This window comes from Homo sapiens, chromosome 4 (assembly GCF_000001405.40).
Source record: "Homo sapiens chromosome 4, GRCh38.p14 Primary Assembly".
Taxonomy (NCBI): Eukaryota; Metazoa; Chordata; class Mammalia; order Primates; family Hominidae; genus Homo; species Homo sapiens.
Genome location: NC_000004.12, coordinates 109,473,875 through 109,490,214, shown reverse-complemented (window position 1 = coordinate 109,490,214; position 16,340 = coordinate 109,473,875). Strand labels below are relative to the sequence as shown.

The 16,340-nt window shown below is 36.3% G+C and overlaps 1 protein-coding gene and 1 non-coding gene across 19 annotated transcripts in view; both read right to left on the bottom strand.

Annotated features, from left to right (window-relative positions):
- Positions 1-16,340, bottom strand: part of SEC24B (SEC24 homolog B, COPII component) — a 107,082-nt gene that overhangs the window by 50,682 nt on the left and 40,060 nt on the right. For 7 of the 18 annotated variants that reach the window (NM_001300813.3, NM_006323.5, NM_001318085.2 and 4 more), the window contains one exon: positions 8,434-8,538. The exons of the other annotated variants lie outside the window; for them this stretch is intronic. In NM_001300813.3, coding sequence (NP_001287742.1) covers positions 8,434-8,538 — 105 coding nt within the window. The remainder of the gene's footprint in view (positions 1-8,433; positions 8,539-16,340) is intronic. 18 annotated transcript variants of the gene reach the window in all.
- On the bottom strand, positions 1,420-1,517 carry MIR576 (microRNA 576). The gene has a single exon (NR_030302.1). It is a non-coding gene; the product is annotated as a microRNA 576 (primary transcript).

Below are 16,340 nucleotides of genomic sequence, written 5' to 3'. Positions count from 1 at the left end.
CAACTCCATCATTTACTTGCTATGTAACTTTGTGGTTCTTTTCTCCTAAGAATAAGTGAAGGTAACTTGCTATATAACTCTTCTGCAAAATGCTAACGATTTTTTAAATGTCCTATGTGTGGTTTTTTATGTTCTTATAAGGTCTAAATGAGACAGTGGATATGAAGACACCCATTAAATAAGTAATAGGTAGAAGACACTAATATTTATGCAGTGCCTTCTTCGTGATAAGTAGAACAATTTTGCACATATATTTTTCCTCTTAATAAAGAATGGAAAGTAATGCCCTTTCCTTTGTGTTCCTTTTATTTGTGAATTTTAAACTAAAGCAGAATGCTGATATATCAGGTCAAAAGTCTCCAAATATTCATCAACAGATGAATGGATAAACAAAATATGGTATATCTATAAAATGGGATATTATTTAGCCATAAAAATGAAGTATGGATACACGCTACAATGTGAATGAAACCTGAAAATTTGCTTAAGTGAAATAAATCAAACAAAAAAGACCATATATATTATCATATGTATATATCACATGTATATATCATATATATACCATATATATCATATATATACCATATATATTATAATATATAATATATATAATTCTATTTATATGAAAGACCCAGGCTGAGGGGAGGGGAAAATGGGGAGTGACTGAGTGTAGGATTTTCTTTTGGGATGATGAAAATGTCTAGTACTTCACAAAATTAGATAGAGCTAAATAGAAGTGGGGACTGCACAACACTGTACATGTACTAAATGCCACTGAATTATACAATTTAAAACAGTTAATTTTATGTTATGCATATTTTTCCTTAATAAAACTAAACAATTTACCATGACATTTCAATGGGGAAATAATATTCTTTTCAGCAAATGGTGCTGGAACAACTAGACATATCCACACGCAGAAGAACAAAGCTGGACCCCTTCCCTACACCACAACTAACTCAAAATGGATCATAGACATAAAATGTAAGTGCTAAAACTATAAAACTCTTAGAATACAGGAATAAATCTTCATGACTAAATGAATTTTTAGATATGACATCAAAGGTACAAGCAACAAAAGAAAAAAGATAATTTGGACTTCATCAAAATTAAGAACTTTTGTGCTCTAAAGGTTACCGTATCATCAAGAAGTAAAAAGACAACCCACAGAATGAGAGTAAATATTTGCAAATCATATATCTGATAAGGGGTTAATATCCAGAATATGTAACAAACTCTTACAACTCAACAATAAAACAACAAATAACCAAATTTAAAATGGGCAAAAGATTTGAACAGATATTTATCCAAAGAAGATAAACAAATGACCAATAAACACATGAAAAGATGCTCAACATCACAATCCCATTAGGAAAATGAAAATCAAAACAACGAGATAACATTTCACATCCACTAGGATGGTTATAACCAATCGAATGAGGATTCCAATTTTTCCACATCTTTGCCAAACCTTATTACCAAAGACGTGGAGAAATTAGAATCCTCGTTGGATTGTAAAATGGTGCAGTTACTTTGGAAAACAGTTTGGCAGTTTCTCAAAAGTTAAATACAGAGTTCTGACCCAGCAATTCTACTCAAGAGAAATGAAAACATAAACCTACACAAAAACTTGTTGACAAATGTTCACAGCAGGAGTATTCATAACAGCCAAAAAGCAGAAACAACCCAAATGTCCATCAACTCATGAATGGATAAATAAAATGTGATACATTCACATATGGAATATTTTTTGGTAACAAAAAATAATAAAGTACTGACATATGCCATAATGTGGATGAACCTTGAAAACATTATGTTAAAAGAAAGATGCAAGTAACAACCACATATTATATGATCTCTACATATAAAATGTTCAAAATAGACAAACCTGTAGAGACAGAGGATTAATGGCTGCCTAGAGCTGCGTGTGGTTGTGCGGGGAGGGTAGAATGGGAAGAAGGCTAAAACATATGAAGTTTCTATTTTGGGGTGAAGAAAATGTTCTGGAATTACATAGTAGTGATGGTTGCTACTTTGTGAATATGCTAAAAACTGCAGAACAGCACAACTTAAATAGGTGAATTTTATGGTATGTGAATTATTTCTCAAAACTGCTATTAAAAATATCATGGGCATTCTAAGAAAAACTTTTAAATGTATATATCAAGAAATAACTACTCTTGAAAAAAAATAAAGTCCAAAGATAAAAGATTACTTATATATGAACTTATTCCAAAGAACATACTACTACTCAGTTAAGATGTTTAGTTTCTTTCATGTCAAATCAACTGTTAATATTTTAAAGATTGTTCATTTTAATAAGGCTATAAGTTTTAAAGTATTAATTTTTTTATTCTATTTTGTTTACTGAATAGTTTGAAATCTGCTAGTTTACTTTAAATTCACTTTCAGAAGAAAAAATGACTGCAAATCTCTATTTGTGAACCTGTCAAAATATCAAAGCAATGATAATTGTTATAAACCCAAATAAATCAGTAAGCTAAACAGACTCATGATATTTTGCTATTTAGATTAATGCGTTCTAAGTAACGCATTAATCAGAGGTCATGCCATTACTGGCAAATAAATCAAAAAGGTATTTTTATAAAACAGTACCTGATTGAAAACTTATGTGTTAACATTCTGAACATGCTTAGAAACAGCCTTTACTAATTTCCCCACCATCTTAGTGAATAAGGTGTAAATGCCTTCACACTGTCATAAAACAAACTTCAAAATTTGGCTTCTACTTGTCCTTTCCACCTGCATCTCTCACCTGTCCCTTTACCATCCTCCCTTTTACCTTATTTTGCAGTTACACCAAACTTCTGACTCTTGACCCAATACTACATTTTTTTCTTCTGTTTATGCATTATGTCTGTTAGCCATAATTTCCTTTCTTCACATGGCAAATTACTACTCATCCTTCAAATTTCAAATCCTTTGTCAAACTTTTCCTGTATGCCCACAGAAAATCATTTCCTCTTCTATGCAGGAGCACATTCTCAATCCTGAATTAATACACTTTTCTTTTTTTTTTTTTTTTTTTGAGACAGAGTCTCACTCTTGTCACTCAGGCTGTAGTGCAGTGGCGTGATCTCAGCTCACTGCAACCTCTGTCTCCCGGGTTCAAGTGATTCTCCTGCCTCAGCCTCCAAAGCAGCTGGGATTACAGACGCCAGCCACCACGGCCGGCTAATCTTTGTATTTTTAGTAGATATGGGGTTTCGTTATGTTAGCCAGGCTGGTCTCAAACTCCTGACCTCAGGTGATCTGCCCATCTCAGCCTCCCAAAGTGCTGGGATTACAGGCGTGAGCCACCGCGCCTGCTTACACTTTTCAAGTTGTACTGTAATCATATGGTATCTGTTTCCCTATCATATTATACGTATTTGATGGCCAGAGCTATGCTAATATATTGATCTTTGGAATCCTGATACCAAGCAAAATACTGCTTTCAGCATACAAGCTGGTTTCCACTGAATCAATGGCTTTGGTACTTGTCCCATGCTTAATCCTTGGATAGCATCGATTTGCCTCAGTCACTTCACACTACAATTACTGATAATAAGTATTCTGAGATCAAATGGGGGTCAAGTATGAAATGCAGTACTTGGAAATAATTTTCTCTCATTCTTCTACTGGCTCTATGTTACAGCTTGAAAGAAGAAAAAAGGAAAGAGAAAAAGAGAGGGAGCTGAAATCTAAAGAAGTAACGAGGAGAACAGATCAGAAGAATAGCTCAGAATCCTTGAAGCTAGAGAAGAGTATCAGAAAGCAATTAAGCCTTTAAAAAAAGGCTTAAGCTGTTTTCTGTCTCTAAAAGACAAGCAATATGGGTCAACAAAGGCAATATACTTACTAGTATTGCTAAACTTGAAATTAGCCAGATAATTTGAGATTTCCTCATAACCTGCACAAAACATGAAAAGGCTATAACTCAAACTCCATGTCCACTCCCTAACAGTTGAGGGAAAATGGACACCTGACATCTCTGAGCTGCTCCTCATTAGTAACAACAGATTTCATAATAACACCTACTCCACAGAGCTACTATTACAACTTCACAGATATCACAGGTATAACAGATATTAGCAAGAGACTCAGGAAATGTTCTTCGTGTTCTCTCTTCCCTCTATCTCCAAACAGTGCTACAGAGGGGGAAAAAACAAAACAAGACAGATACCTCCTGATAGATTTTCCAATTGTTTTTTTTTCCTCAGCTTTCAGCCAAACTTTCCTCAACACTTAACACTGCTAACCCAGTAACTTCTGATTCTCCACCCTGCTGGTTGATTTTTCATCACTGTTCAGTAAATTTTTTTCAAAGTTGGAGAACAATCCCACATAAACTAAACACACAAAAATCTCACAAATAAAGGGAATAAATGCCACTGAAATGCTTAAGAAGTAGAGCACTCCAAATCGCTACTTTATTAGACACTTACATGTAATTCCCACACCAATTTCAGCCACTTTCTTTTTACCTCTGTACATATGAAATAAATTATTGTAACTGGGCAAGGTTTAAAAAATAAAATTCCATTTAAAGCTAGACTTTCTTCCCATCCCACCACTGAGAATGTTTCTTTAATTTGCAACCAACAAAGATATTATTTTAAAAAACCATTAATAGAGAACACTAAGATTATAGTAAAAATGTCAATAATATAGTCTTATTTTGTGGAGTAGAAAAAAACACAGGAGTAAGATAACATGTACGTTTAACACTGTAGTGACTACCGTCATGTGCCCTTTACTCCCACCTACTCTGGCCGTTTATGTTCTCTCACTAGATAGGAAGACACCTTCTTTTTCATACTTTTCTGCAGAAAGACCTCAGTTTGAATCTCTATTCTGCCTACTGAGCAGCTGTGTGACCACAGACAAATGTTACTTAATATGTTCAGGCTGCAGTTAATTCATCTGTAAAATAGAGTTGATTATTTCTGCCTTGCAGAATTGTTGAGAAGAACAGACAATAACACAATCTCAATGCTGGTAATGACAGCTAATCTTTCTGAGTGTTTACGATTTGCCACACACTGTTCTAAGCTCTTTACAAACAGTATCTTCAATCCTTAAAACAACTATATGTAATTGTTACTATCATTATCACAAAGCTAGAAAGTGAAAAGTCGGGATGTGAGTCTAGAAAAACTGACACAAAAACCAAGGGAGACATACTAGCTCTGTATTGCTACGACTGGCATTCAGTAAGTGCTAAAAATGTTAGGTATTATTAAAATCCAAATGCCATAAAAACTCAGGAATTTTAAATCTATAATATACTCAAGAAAAATAATAAACAAGACATTAGAAAAAAGCCATAAATGCTAAATCTTTTTTTTTTTTTTTTTTTTGAGACAGAGTCTCACTCTGCCACCCAGGCTGCAGGGCAGTGGCGTGATCTCGGCTCACTGCAACCTCTGCCTCCCAGGTTCAAGCAATTCTCCTGCCTCAGCGTCCAGAGTAGCTGGGACTATGGGTGTGCGCCACCACACCTGGCTAATTTTTGTTATTTTTAGTAGAGACAGAGTTTCACCATGTTGGCCAGGCTGTTCTCAAACTCCTGACCCCAGGTGATCCGCCTGCCTTGGACTTCCAAAGTGCTGGGATTACAGGCGTGAGCCACTGCACCTAGCCACCAAATCTTTCTGATCTCTCTCTCTTTTTTTTCTTTTTTTGGAGAACACAACATTTAAATAGTCTCAAAGAAACTCCTCACAAATGACTTATTAATTTTAACAGGGAAAAACAGTAACTTTATAGTGGAGAAACCTGGCAGATACCACCTTATTCAAATAATAAAAGTTAACCTCATCAATATGAGAACAAATTGACATCATGTGCCTCAAATAGGATGCACTGAGAACACAACATTGTTTTAGTGGTAATCCTCCGAAAAATGCATGGTCTGAATCTAATCATGAGGAAACCTCAGATAAACCCACACTGGGGAACATTTTACAAAATAACTGGTCTGTACTCTTTGAAAATGTAAAGGCAAGGAAAGAGGCTAATGAACTGTTGGAGACTAAAGGAGTCTAACATGACAACTAAATTCAACGCATGATCCAAATTGGATCCTGGACCATGAAAACAGCTTTATAGCTGATCTACTTCAGACAACTGATATTTGACAATGAACAGTGTTATCAGATATTATTGCATCAATGCTCTATTTCTTGATAACTGTATTTTGGTTATTTAAGACACTGACCTTATGATTAGGAAACATAAAGTATTAGGGGTAAAGTTCATGATGTCTCCAATTTACTTGCAAATGGTATAGCAAAAATATGTTGATAGAGAATTATAAAGCAAATGTGGCAAAAATGGTTTATCTGGGTAAAGCGTACATGCGGGTTTCTTTTAACTTCTGTGAGTTTGAAATTTTGTTAAAATTTAAAATTACAAAAAAAATTTCAGAAACATAGATGGGTACTTACGTATTTAGAGTAAGAAAAATTATTTCCCACCTGTCACCCCCAATTTTTATCCCGAGTCGCATATAATGATTTAAATATTTTTAAATGCACAGGAAATAGAAATTTTTGGTTAAAATGATTGTTTGCAGAACAGATCTTCACATTTAGAACAGGAGAATTGTGGTCACATATAATAACTTGAAAGATCATCAGTTATTGGTTCAGTCTTAAACTATAGGTTGAGAGTCCCTAATGTGAAAATCCAAAATCTTAAATGCTTCAAAATCCAAAATTTTATGAGGGCTGACATGACACCACAAGTGGAAAATTCCACACCTGACCTCATATGACAAGTCACAGGCAAAACTCTGTATCATGTACAAAATTATTAAAAATATTGCACAAGGCCGGGCACTGTGGCTCACACCTGTAATCCCAGCACTTTGGGAGGCCAAGGCAGGCGGATCATGAGGTCAGGAGATCAAGACCATCCTGGCTAACACAGTGAAACCCCATCTCTACTAAAAACACAAAAAATTAGCCAGGCGTGGTGGCGGGTGCCTGTAGTCCCAGCTACTCGGGAGGCTAAGGCAGGAGAATGGTGTGAACCCGGAAGGTGCAGCTTGCAGTGAGCCGAGATCGCTCCACTGCACTCCAGCCTGGGCAACAGAGCAAGACTCCATCTCAAAAAAATATATATATATACATACATATATATATATATATAAATACATAAATACATATATATAAATACATATATAAAAAACATATGTATAATATGTGTGTGTGTGTGTGTGTGTGTGTATATATATATATATATATATATATATATATATATATATATATAGTACAAGCCTGGCAAGGTAGCTCATGCCTGTAATCCCAGCACTTTGGGAGGTTGAGGTGGGCGGATTCCCTGAGTGCAGGAGTTCAAGACCAGCTTGGGCAACATGGCGAAACCCCATCTCTACAAAAAATACAAACATTAACTGTGCAGGGTGGCCTGTAGTCTCAGCTATGTGGGAGTTGAGACAGGAGGATGGCTTGAGCCTGGGAGGCGAAGGTTGGCAGGAGCCATGATTGTGTCACTGCACTCCAGCCTGGGTGACACAGTGAGATCCTGTCTCAAAAATAAAAAACAAAGCAAAATAAAAAAATATATATAGTACAAAATTATCTTTAGTTTATGTGTATAGGTGTATATGAAACATAAATGAATTTAGTATTTAGACTTGAGTCCCATCCTCAAACTATCTCACTATGTATATGCAGCAAATATTCTGAAATCTGAAAAAATATGAAATTTGAAACACTCTGGCCCCAAGCATTTCAGATAAGGGATATTCAACCTGTATTAGAATTAATGGAGGAACTGAACTGCTTAATTTTTTAGCAGTGTTCTACCTATCAAAGGCAGAAAAAGATATTAAACAGTTTGCAACACATAACCATATGCACAACTTCTTCAGCTAGCAAGATATGTACTATTTCATGAAGCAGGAAAATAACTACAAATTCTGGGCCTTCTAAATACATGACAAGAAAAGCCAAAAGGACCTCACTGAAACACTGTCCTATTTCTCTATCCCTATTATAAAATCCACATGGCTTATTTTGATTAGACTAAAGTAGCAGGCAAAGCAGAAAATGAAGCATTATTCCTAAAACGATGCTAGAGCAATCATCAGCCAAAAGCTTCAGTCAGTACTCATTATTTTGCATGTGACATGGGAGAAAATGCATTTCTGAAAGAAGAATGCACTCTACTGTCATGAAAGAGGAATTCTGATTCTATTATTTACAATATGGCAAAGATGCCTAAAGGAGGAAAAACAAAACAAACACCTTATTTTATGTGACACATCTTCTATAATGCAAACCTCGTAAGTTCATCATGCTAAATCTTCAAAGACTCTTTTTTAAAAGGCTAAGTAAGACTGTGGAAACAAAAAGAAAACTTGAGCAGGAAAAGATCAAGAACTGGTGTAAAGCTAAAGCAGACCTGCTTCCTCATCCTCCTCCTCCTCTTCCTCATCATCGGAAGTTGATGACAAGGGAGTTGGTGCGGAGCTAGCTTGGTTATTAACATATTCACCATACTGCACGCCTGTAAAGTGGAAAGCACAAACATAAGAGTCAAACCAACAGGAAAGATGAGAAATAAAAATTTGACATTGCATTAAAAGTGAGAAAGAACTCTGACATTCCAAAGAACATCCCAACATGCATATTAATATTAGCAAATTCATTATCAAAACTAGAACCATTAGAAAATCTCTGCAAAGCAGTTTAGTAAAAGCAGCTTTAATATGGACTGGCTTAAGTGTGAAAAGGTATCTATCATGTATTGTCCAAAACAGTTAGTATTTAGGAAGCTGCAATAATATTGTCTGAAAAGTTTACTGAGCTCTATACATGTTTATCTCCTTTGACCTTATGGCCCTGTGGTATATTTCCTTTGGGATTGTGCATTTTTGGTGGGCAGTGATCATTTATAGTGAACTGATTTTGTACAGCATACAAAACACATACGTGGTACCCCTTCCTTCTGCTAATGTTACCTTGATGGTAAACTCAGTTCCCATAACAGAAGAAGAATCACAGTTAAAGAAAAAAACTGTATTCGGCATAGTTCTCTGCTAACAGTAGATACTCTGGGAGTGGGGGACGGGGGGCTGGGGGACTTATTATCTGTGACCCTACAAGTGTGAGAATTACAGAAAACTGAATTTTCTGAGACAGCCAGTCATGTCAGTGTCATCCTATTGCCTACATGTGAGTCCGAAACAGGTGAATAAGACTGGTCCTGTGTGAAATATACCAACAGAAGGCAGATTCTGTAGAAAAGGGCACAATAAACTGGTATTGGTAACTGTTTACTAATTCCCTTAAAAAAATGTAATTGGGTATTTCTATTATTTGATCTGATAGAATGAGGACTTTAAAAATTAACATATATACCGTTTTTAAGAGGAAAAATAAAAATTATCTTAATTGAAAATGAAGGCCGGGCATGGTGGCTCACGCCTGTAATCCCAGCACTTTGGGAGGCCAAGGTGGGAGGATCACAAGGTTAAGAGATCGAGACCATCCTGGCCAACATGGTGAAACCCTGTCTCTACTAAAAATACAAAAATTAGCTGGGCGTGGTGGCGCACGCCTGTAGTCCCAGCTACTTGGGAGGCTGGGGCAGGAGAATCGCCTCTGCTGGGAGGCAGAGGTTGCAGTGAGCAGAGATTGTGCCATTGCACTCCAGCCTGGTGACAGAGCAAGACTCCATCTCAGAAAAAGAAAAAGAAAAGGAAAAAAGAAAATGAAAACACTTCTTAAATAAGAATAAACATCCTTGTATGGAAAATCTCATGGCTCTACTTTGAAAAAAAAAGAAAAAAGAAAGCCAGAAACATAGTGGGGATTTTTAAGAACATTTCCTAATATTGGGGTACAATGAAGCCCTGCCTCACCAAAATCACACGATAGTGCTTTAATGCTCTCTTTATTTTTTTTTCAGGTGACTAGCATACTTGATTAGCATGGATAAACAACTCATCACTAGAGTAAGAAAAAAACTATTAAGAATAAAATTTTAGTTTAGAAGCAAAGGTTAAACTGTAGATGAATGAAGCTTTGATCTTTCAACAATGACTAAAAAAAGTCATGGAAAAATCTGCTAGCTTTGCTGAAACATCTTTTAATATCGGTAAAATAGCAGTATCCCAAATTCAAATCAATGTAAATAAAATAAAAATCAATAAAATAAAAATCGATGTAAATAAAATAAAATAAAATCAATGTAAAATAGGTTCAGGTAATGCAAGAAACAAACTTAATACCAAAAACAAATTCAGAGTGGCACATTCTTCTGACAAAAAGCCCAATTAAAACGAATATTTGAGCCAAGCACAATTGCTCATGTCTATAATCCCAGCACTTCATGAGAAAATAAAAATAAATGTAAAATAGGTTCAAGTAATACAAGAAACAATATCAAAAACAAATTCAGAGTGGCACATTCTTCTGACAAAAAGCCCAATTAAAACAAAAATTTGAGCCAAGTACAATTGCTCATGTCTATAATCCCAGCACTTTGGGAGGCTCAGGCAGGAGTATCACTTGAAGCCAGGAGTTCAAGACCAGCCTGGGCAACATAGTGAGACCCCATCTCTGTAAAAAGTAAAAAAAAAAAATTAGCCAGGCATGGCGCCCTGCTCTAGGTTGGGTATAGCACATACAGACTACAACAAATGGGGAGCTACAGCCGGCAAGGGGTTGATAGCCAAGTCATCTATTCTAGGATATGTGAATGCTTCCTGAAGTGCCTCTAATTCAGATTCTCTTTAAGAGCCAAAATCTATGTATGAGATACACAGATCAAATATATAAGGTGGTAAAATATGACATCCTTTCCCAGAGCTCAGCCTGAAACCCACTGTAGAAATGTATGTACATGGAGTAGCTACCTCTACCACCACCACCACCGAATGGAGAAGGAATGTTATATCATAATTTATTCTATCTTAACCAGAGCTTCCAAGGTATAAATCTACTCAACCAAGAAACATGAAACACTTTATAGAATCTAACATGATGCAGCACTCTGTTATTCAAAGGGCCCCAATATTTTCGAAAGGACATTTAGTTTAAATAACCAACCATTAAAGTACCCTCAGGCAAATCTTTCCAGGAGAACATATCCTTGGTGCTGCTTAATATTCTTCAGTGTTCCCTAGATACAGCTATACCACGAATAAATCAAACTAATCTTAAGAGAACAAATCTCTTGTGGAGATTAGCTTTTTTAAATTCAGGAGTTCAGACTTTTGAGTAACTGCTCTCTTTCCTAAACTGGAAACTAGGTGTACACACTAGAAGACTTTTCAAGGGTCCCCACAAAAGAATGGTTTTAAGGAAATCAATTTTCAGATGTCGATTCCTGTAAGTACTCTTTCCTCAAACTTACCCACCTAAAAAAGTGCCCGTGTTAATGACAGCCTTTCTTTTATTTTACAAAGGAAACACATGACCTTAGTTTATCCTAATTTTTACTATGACACACTGCTGTAATGTATGCCAGTCTCTTATTATACAGTACACAGTAGGAAATACTGAACAGAGAAGGAGCGTAACATTATGGATAAAGAAGAGGACTCTGGGTTCAACTCCAGGTTCTATCACTTAACTACTGGTATGTCCTTGAGCAAGTTACTAACCTCTGTTCTTCACTTACATTATCTATAAAATAGGGTAATACTTCAAATGGTTGTGGTAAGGATTAAATGAGTTAATATATTTCAAATGCTTAGAATGGTGCATGACACATACTAAATACAAAATAAATGTGAGCTATATCACTAACTTTAAAAACATGTTTTTGGGTATATTCAATTAAAATTATTTTCAGCTGTTCTTTTCAGGGCACATCATTAGAAAAAAAAGAACCACCCACCAACACTCAGTCCTGCTAATTATTTTATTTTATTAATTTTTTTTTTTTTTTTAAGACAGAGTCTCACTCTGTCACCCAGGCTGGAGTGCAGTGGCATGATCTCAGCTCACTGCAACCTCTGCCTCCCCGGTTCAAGTGATTCTCCTGCCTCAGCCTCCTGAGTAGCTGGGATTACAGGCCTGTGCCATCACGCCCAGCTAATTTTTTTTTACATTTTTGGTAGAGATGAGGTTTCACCATGTTGGCCAGACTGGTCTCGAAGTCCTGACCTCAAATGATCCACCCACCTTTGCCTCCCAAAGTGCTGGTATTACAGGCGTGAGCCACCATGCCCAGTTGTAATTATTTTAAAAACAAATGGAGTATTTTCTAGGACTACCAAGTGTTTTTAAAACATACTCACTAAAACTCAAGATAAAAATTCTGTGATTTCAGTCAATGTGACATGTGCAATAAAATATTTTACAACCTTTTCATGATAAAATATAGTCAATTCTTAATTTTTATATTTTATAAAATATTTAACACTTTCTACATCCTTTTAACAAAAAAATATTTACCAACAAGTGAATCTGTTAGTACTTAGTAGTATATGCTTTGATAAGTTTTGAGGACTGCTTTTGCCAATTAGGTCATATGGAGATATCATCCATAAAATAAATGGCCTGTATCATAGCTTGTTTTTGATAAAAACACACTTACAGGGTATGGTAGCCAGGCACAGTGGCTCACACCTGTAATCTGAGCACCTTGGGAGGCCAAGGTGGGATAATCACTCGAGCCTGGGAGTTCAAGACCAGCCTGGGCAACACTGTAAGACCTCATCTCTACAAATAATTTTTTAAAAAATTAGTCAGATGTGGCAGTGTGTGCCTGTGGCCTTAGCTACTCAGGAGGCTGAGGTGGGAATATCGCTTGAGCCCCAGTGGTCTCAAGGGTCGAGGCTGCAGTGAGCTGAGCTACTGCACTCCAGCCTAGGCAACAAAACAAGACCCTGTCTCAAAATAAATAAATAAATAAAAATAATAAAAAGTATGGTAAGCTATATTGGCCATGGTAGAAGGAAATTCAAAATATTTTGAATAACTGCTGATAGAGTAAAACAAGTACTGAGTTTGAAGGCAAAAGGTGTGCAATGGGCCTGGGTACCTCTCCTTCCAACTCTGTAGGTCTTTTTTTTTTTTTTTTTTTTTTTTTATTTGAGACGGAGTCTCGCTCTGTCGCCCAGGCTGGAGTGCAGTGGCGGGATCTCGGCTCACTGCAAGCTCCACCTCCCGGGTTCACGCCATTCTCCTGCCTCAGCCTCCCAAGTAGCTGGGACTACAGGCGCCCGCCACTACGCCCGGCTAATTTTTTGTATTTTTAGTAGAGACGGGGTTTCACCGTTTTAGCCGGGATGGTCTCGATCTCCTGACCTCGTGATCCGCCCGCCTCGGCCTCCCAAAGTGCTGGGATTACAGGCGTGAGCCACTGCGCCCGGCCAACTCTGTAGGTCTTAAGGTAAGACATGTAACCTTTCTAAATTTAAATTTCCTCACTTACAAAAGGAAGAAAACATATGATATGCTTGTTCCATGTGATGAGAAAGTAAGACAGATAGAAAAAGTTAAAGGGATTTGCAAATTACAAACTGTTATATGAAATAATAATGTTAACAACTACCACCTGGAAAATAAAATCTAACAAACAATAATTTCTGACATGTAACTCAGAAGGTTAAAAAGAGTAAAAGCAAAATAAAGCAAAACAGAATGATACTGCTTTAGCAGAATTCTTACAAGTAATTCTAATCTACTTTATGTGAACAATGTTTCTCAGCAATTATATGTATGAAAATAAAAACTAAGAATGAAATTTATCTGAACATTATCATATTCTAACAATGAATCATATTCAACTCAGATACAAAACTATAGTGGGGAGAGGAGACAGCCCATTCATTTCACTGAAAGATGTATTTCCAATAAAAACGTACTTCACATAAATACCAAAATTCATGATGTTTATGTTGTTTTGACCAATTTTATACCAACAATAAAAGCTGTAGTGATTGGCCAGGCACAATGGTCACGCCTGTAATCCTAACACTTTGGGAGGCCTAGGCAGGCAGATCACTTGAGGCCAGGAGTTTGAGACCAGCCTGGTCAACATGGTGAAACCCCGTCTCTACTAAAAATACAAAAATTAGCTGGGCATGTTGGCACATGCATGTAATCCCAGCTACTCAGGAGGCTGAGACATGAGAATCGCTTGCATCTGGGAGGCAGAGGCTGCAGTGACCCAAGATCATGCCACTGCACTCCAGCCTGGGTGACAGAGTGAGTCTGTCTCAAAAAAAAAAAAAAAAGAGAGAGAGAAAAAGTTGTAATGATTGATGGCTTCATTCAAAAGAAAATATACTATTTAGAGACTTAAAGTCATAGATAATAAAACAAATTTTAACATTTCATTTTATATATTATGGTCATGGAAAAGCACAATAGAGTGATAAAAGAGTTTCTAGTGTAAGCATATATTTTATTATTACATTAAGGAAAGGGGATATGCCATCAAATAGAAAAATGAAAAATGTAAACTTCCCAAATGTTAAAGAAGGGGTATTTGTGTGTTTTGCAAAAGGACGATGGTAGGTATCATTCCAAAGGGTACATTTGAAAGAATAATGTAACATCTCAGTTTTAAAAGTCAGCCAGCATATATGTTAAAAACTGCATAACTACAAGTATTTAAATTTTTGATGAAAAATTTTAGATATCAATCTAAAAAATGTTCAAGTAGGTAGTTTATAAAAAAAATTTTAGGGGCTACCCAAACAAAAATTTGATGTCTCCCCTAAAAACAGAAAAAAAATGCTTAGTCTTGGGAGAACAACTAAGCAACGGTGTCTTTGAATTTGGAAGAAAAAAGCTAATCTCTTTTTAAGTATAATCACTTTAGTAGTTCATATCAGGCCCACAGTAAACCCTATGCAGATGATACACTGCACAATTCGAAGAAGCTCCATTCATGCAAATGACAATTCGCACCACCATATGTGGTAGCCCTGACTCAATTAGGTTGTATAGCTCAGATCTCTCCAAAGACAAAGAAGTCACTAAGAGGCCATTCTCCTACTTATGAAAAAGGAACAATAAAAACTACAATTCAGATGTCCCCAGTATGATATTTTCTGTTACTTAAGCAAGAAACTTATCTTAGGTAAACCAAGAGTTAGTTTGTCAACAGCCAATGACAACAAAAATTCAGCTTTATTTTATAGAAAGAATACAAGATAGAGAGATCTGAGTTAAAAAATCTTTTGCTTTGCTACTTATTAACTTGTAGTCTTGGGCAAGTTACCTAACCTCTGTCAATCTCACTTTTCTCATCTGTAAAAAAGGAAGAATATCTATGTCATAAGATTAATATGTGAATTAATGAGATATAAAGTATCTGATATATTGTATGTGCTCAATAAATGGCAGCTTCTTCTACTTTCAAAATATATTTTAATAGAAAAAAGAAGAAACATAATTGCAATTGTTTAGTGGGCAAACCATTTACAAAATATTATTTATAAAAAGATGATAGGATGGTATTTATAGTAAGATGGTAAAAAAGAAAATATGATAGGGGCTGGGCGTGGTGGCTCACGCCTGTAATCCCAGCACTTTGGGAGGCCAAGGTGGGCGGATCACCTGAGGTCAAAAGTTCGAGGCCAGATTGGTCAACATGGTAAAACCCCATCTCCACCAAAAATACAAAAATTAGCAGGGCGAGGTGGCGTGCGCCTGTAATCCCAGCTACCCAGGAGGCTGAGACAGGAGAATCGCTGGAACCCAGGAGGCAGAGGCTGCAGTGAGCCAAGATCATGCCACTGCACTCAACCCCGGGTGACAGAGCAAGACTCCCAACTCCAAAAAAAAAAAAAAAACAATAGGAAGAAATAAGCAGCAGGGGCAATGTAATAGGCCAAAAAAAGCGAAACATTTAAGAAATGGAAGGCAGTCATCAATGTAGAGGAAAAACAAGAAAAGACACCATTCATTTAGTTAGGGCTTTGATCTATCCTAAAAGCTTTTTTGATTTGTGATAAACAAAACTTCTACTGGACCTTCACTTTGAAGGCAAATACTTTTAAGAACTAAATTCAGTTTCCAGTATACCCACTGGTTTGTTGAGAATCAACAGGCACTCTTTGGTGCTGCAGTTACTTTTCCTAAAAAACCAAGTAAGAAAATGTGTAATGTATCATCTGATCAATTGACAGAAAGGTCTCTGTTGATCACATAGACACTCAACAGATACAAGCAATGAGATCACCCTAGGAATTTATCATGCTTTTTTCCTTTTCTCAGTTTCAGACCTATAAGAAGGTTCTTCACACTCAACGTTAGGAGCTGTCATTACATAGTGAGTACAGTCCCTAAAATAATACAATGGTTGCTCTGGAAATACAAACTACAGATTCTTGAAAACAGTTC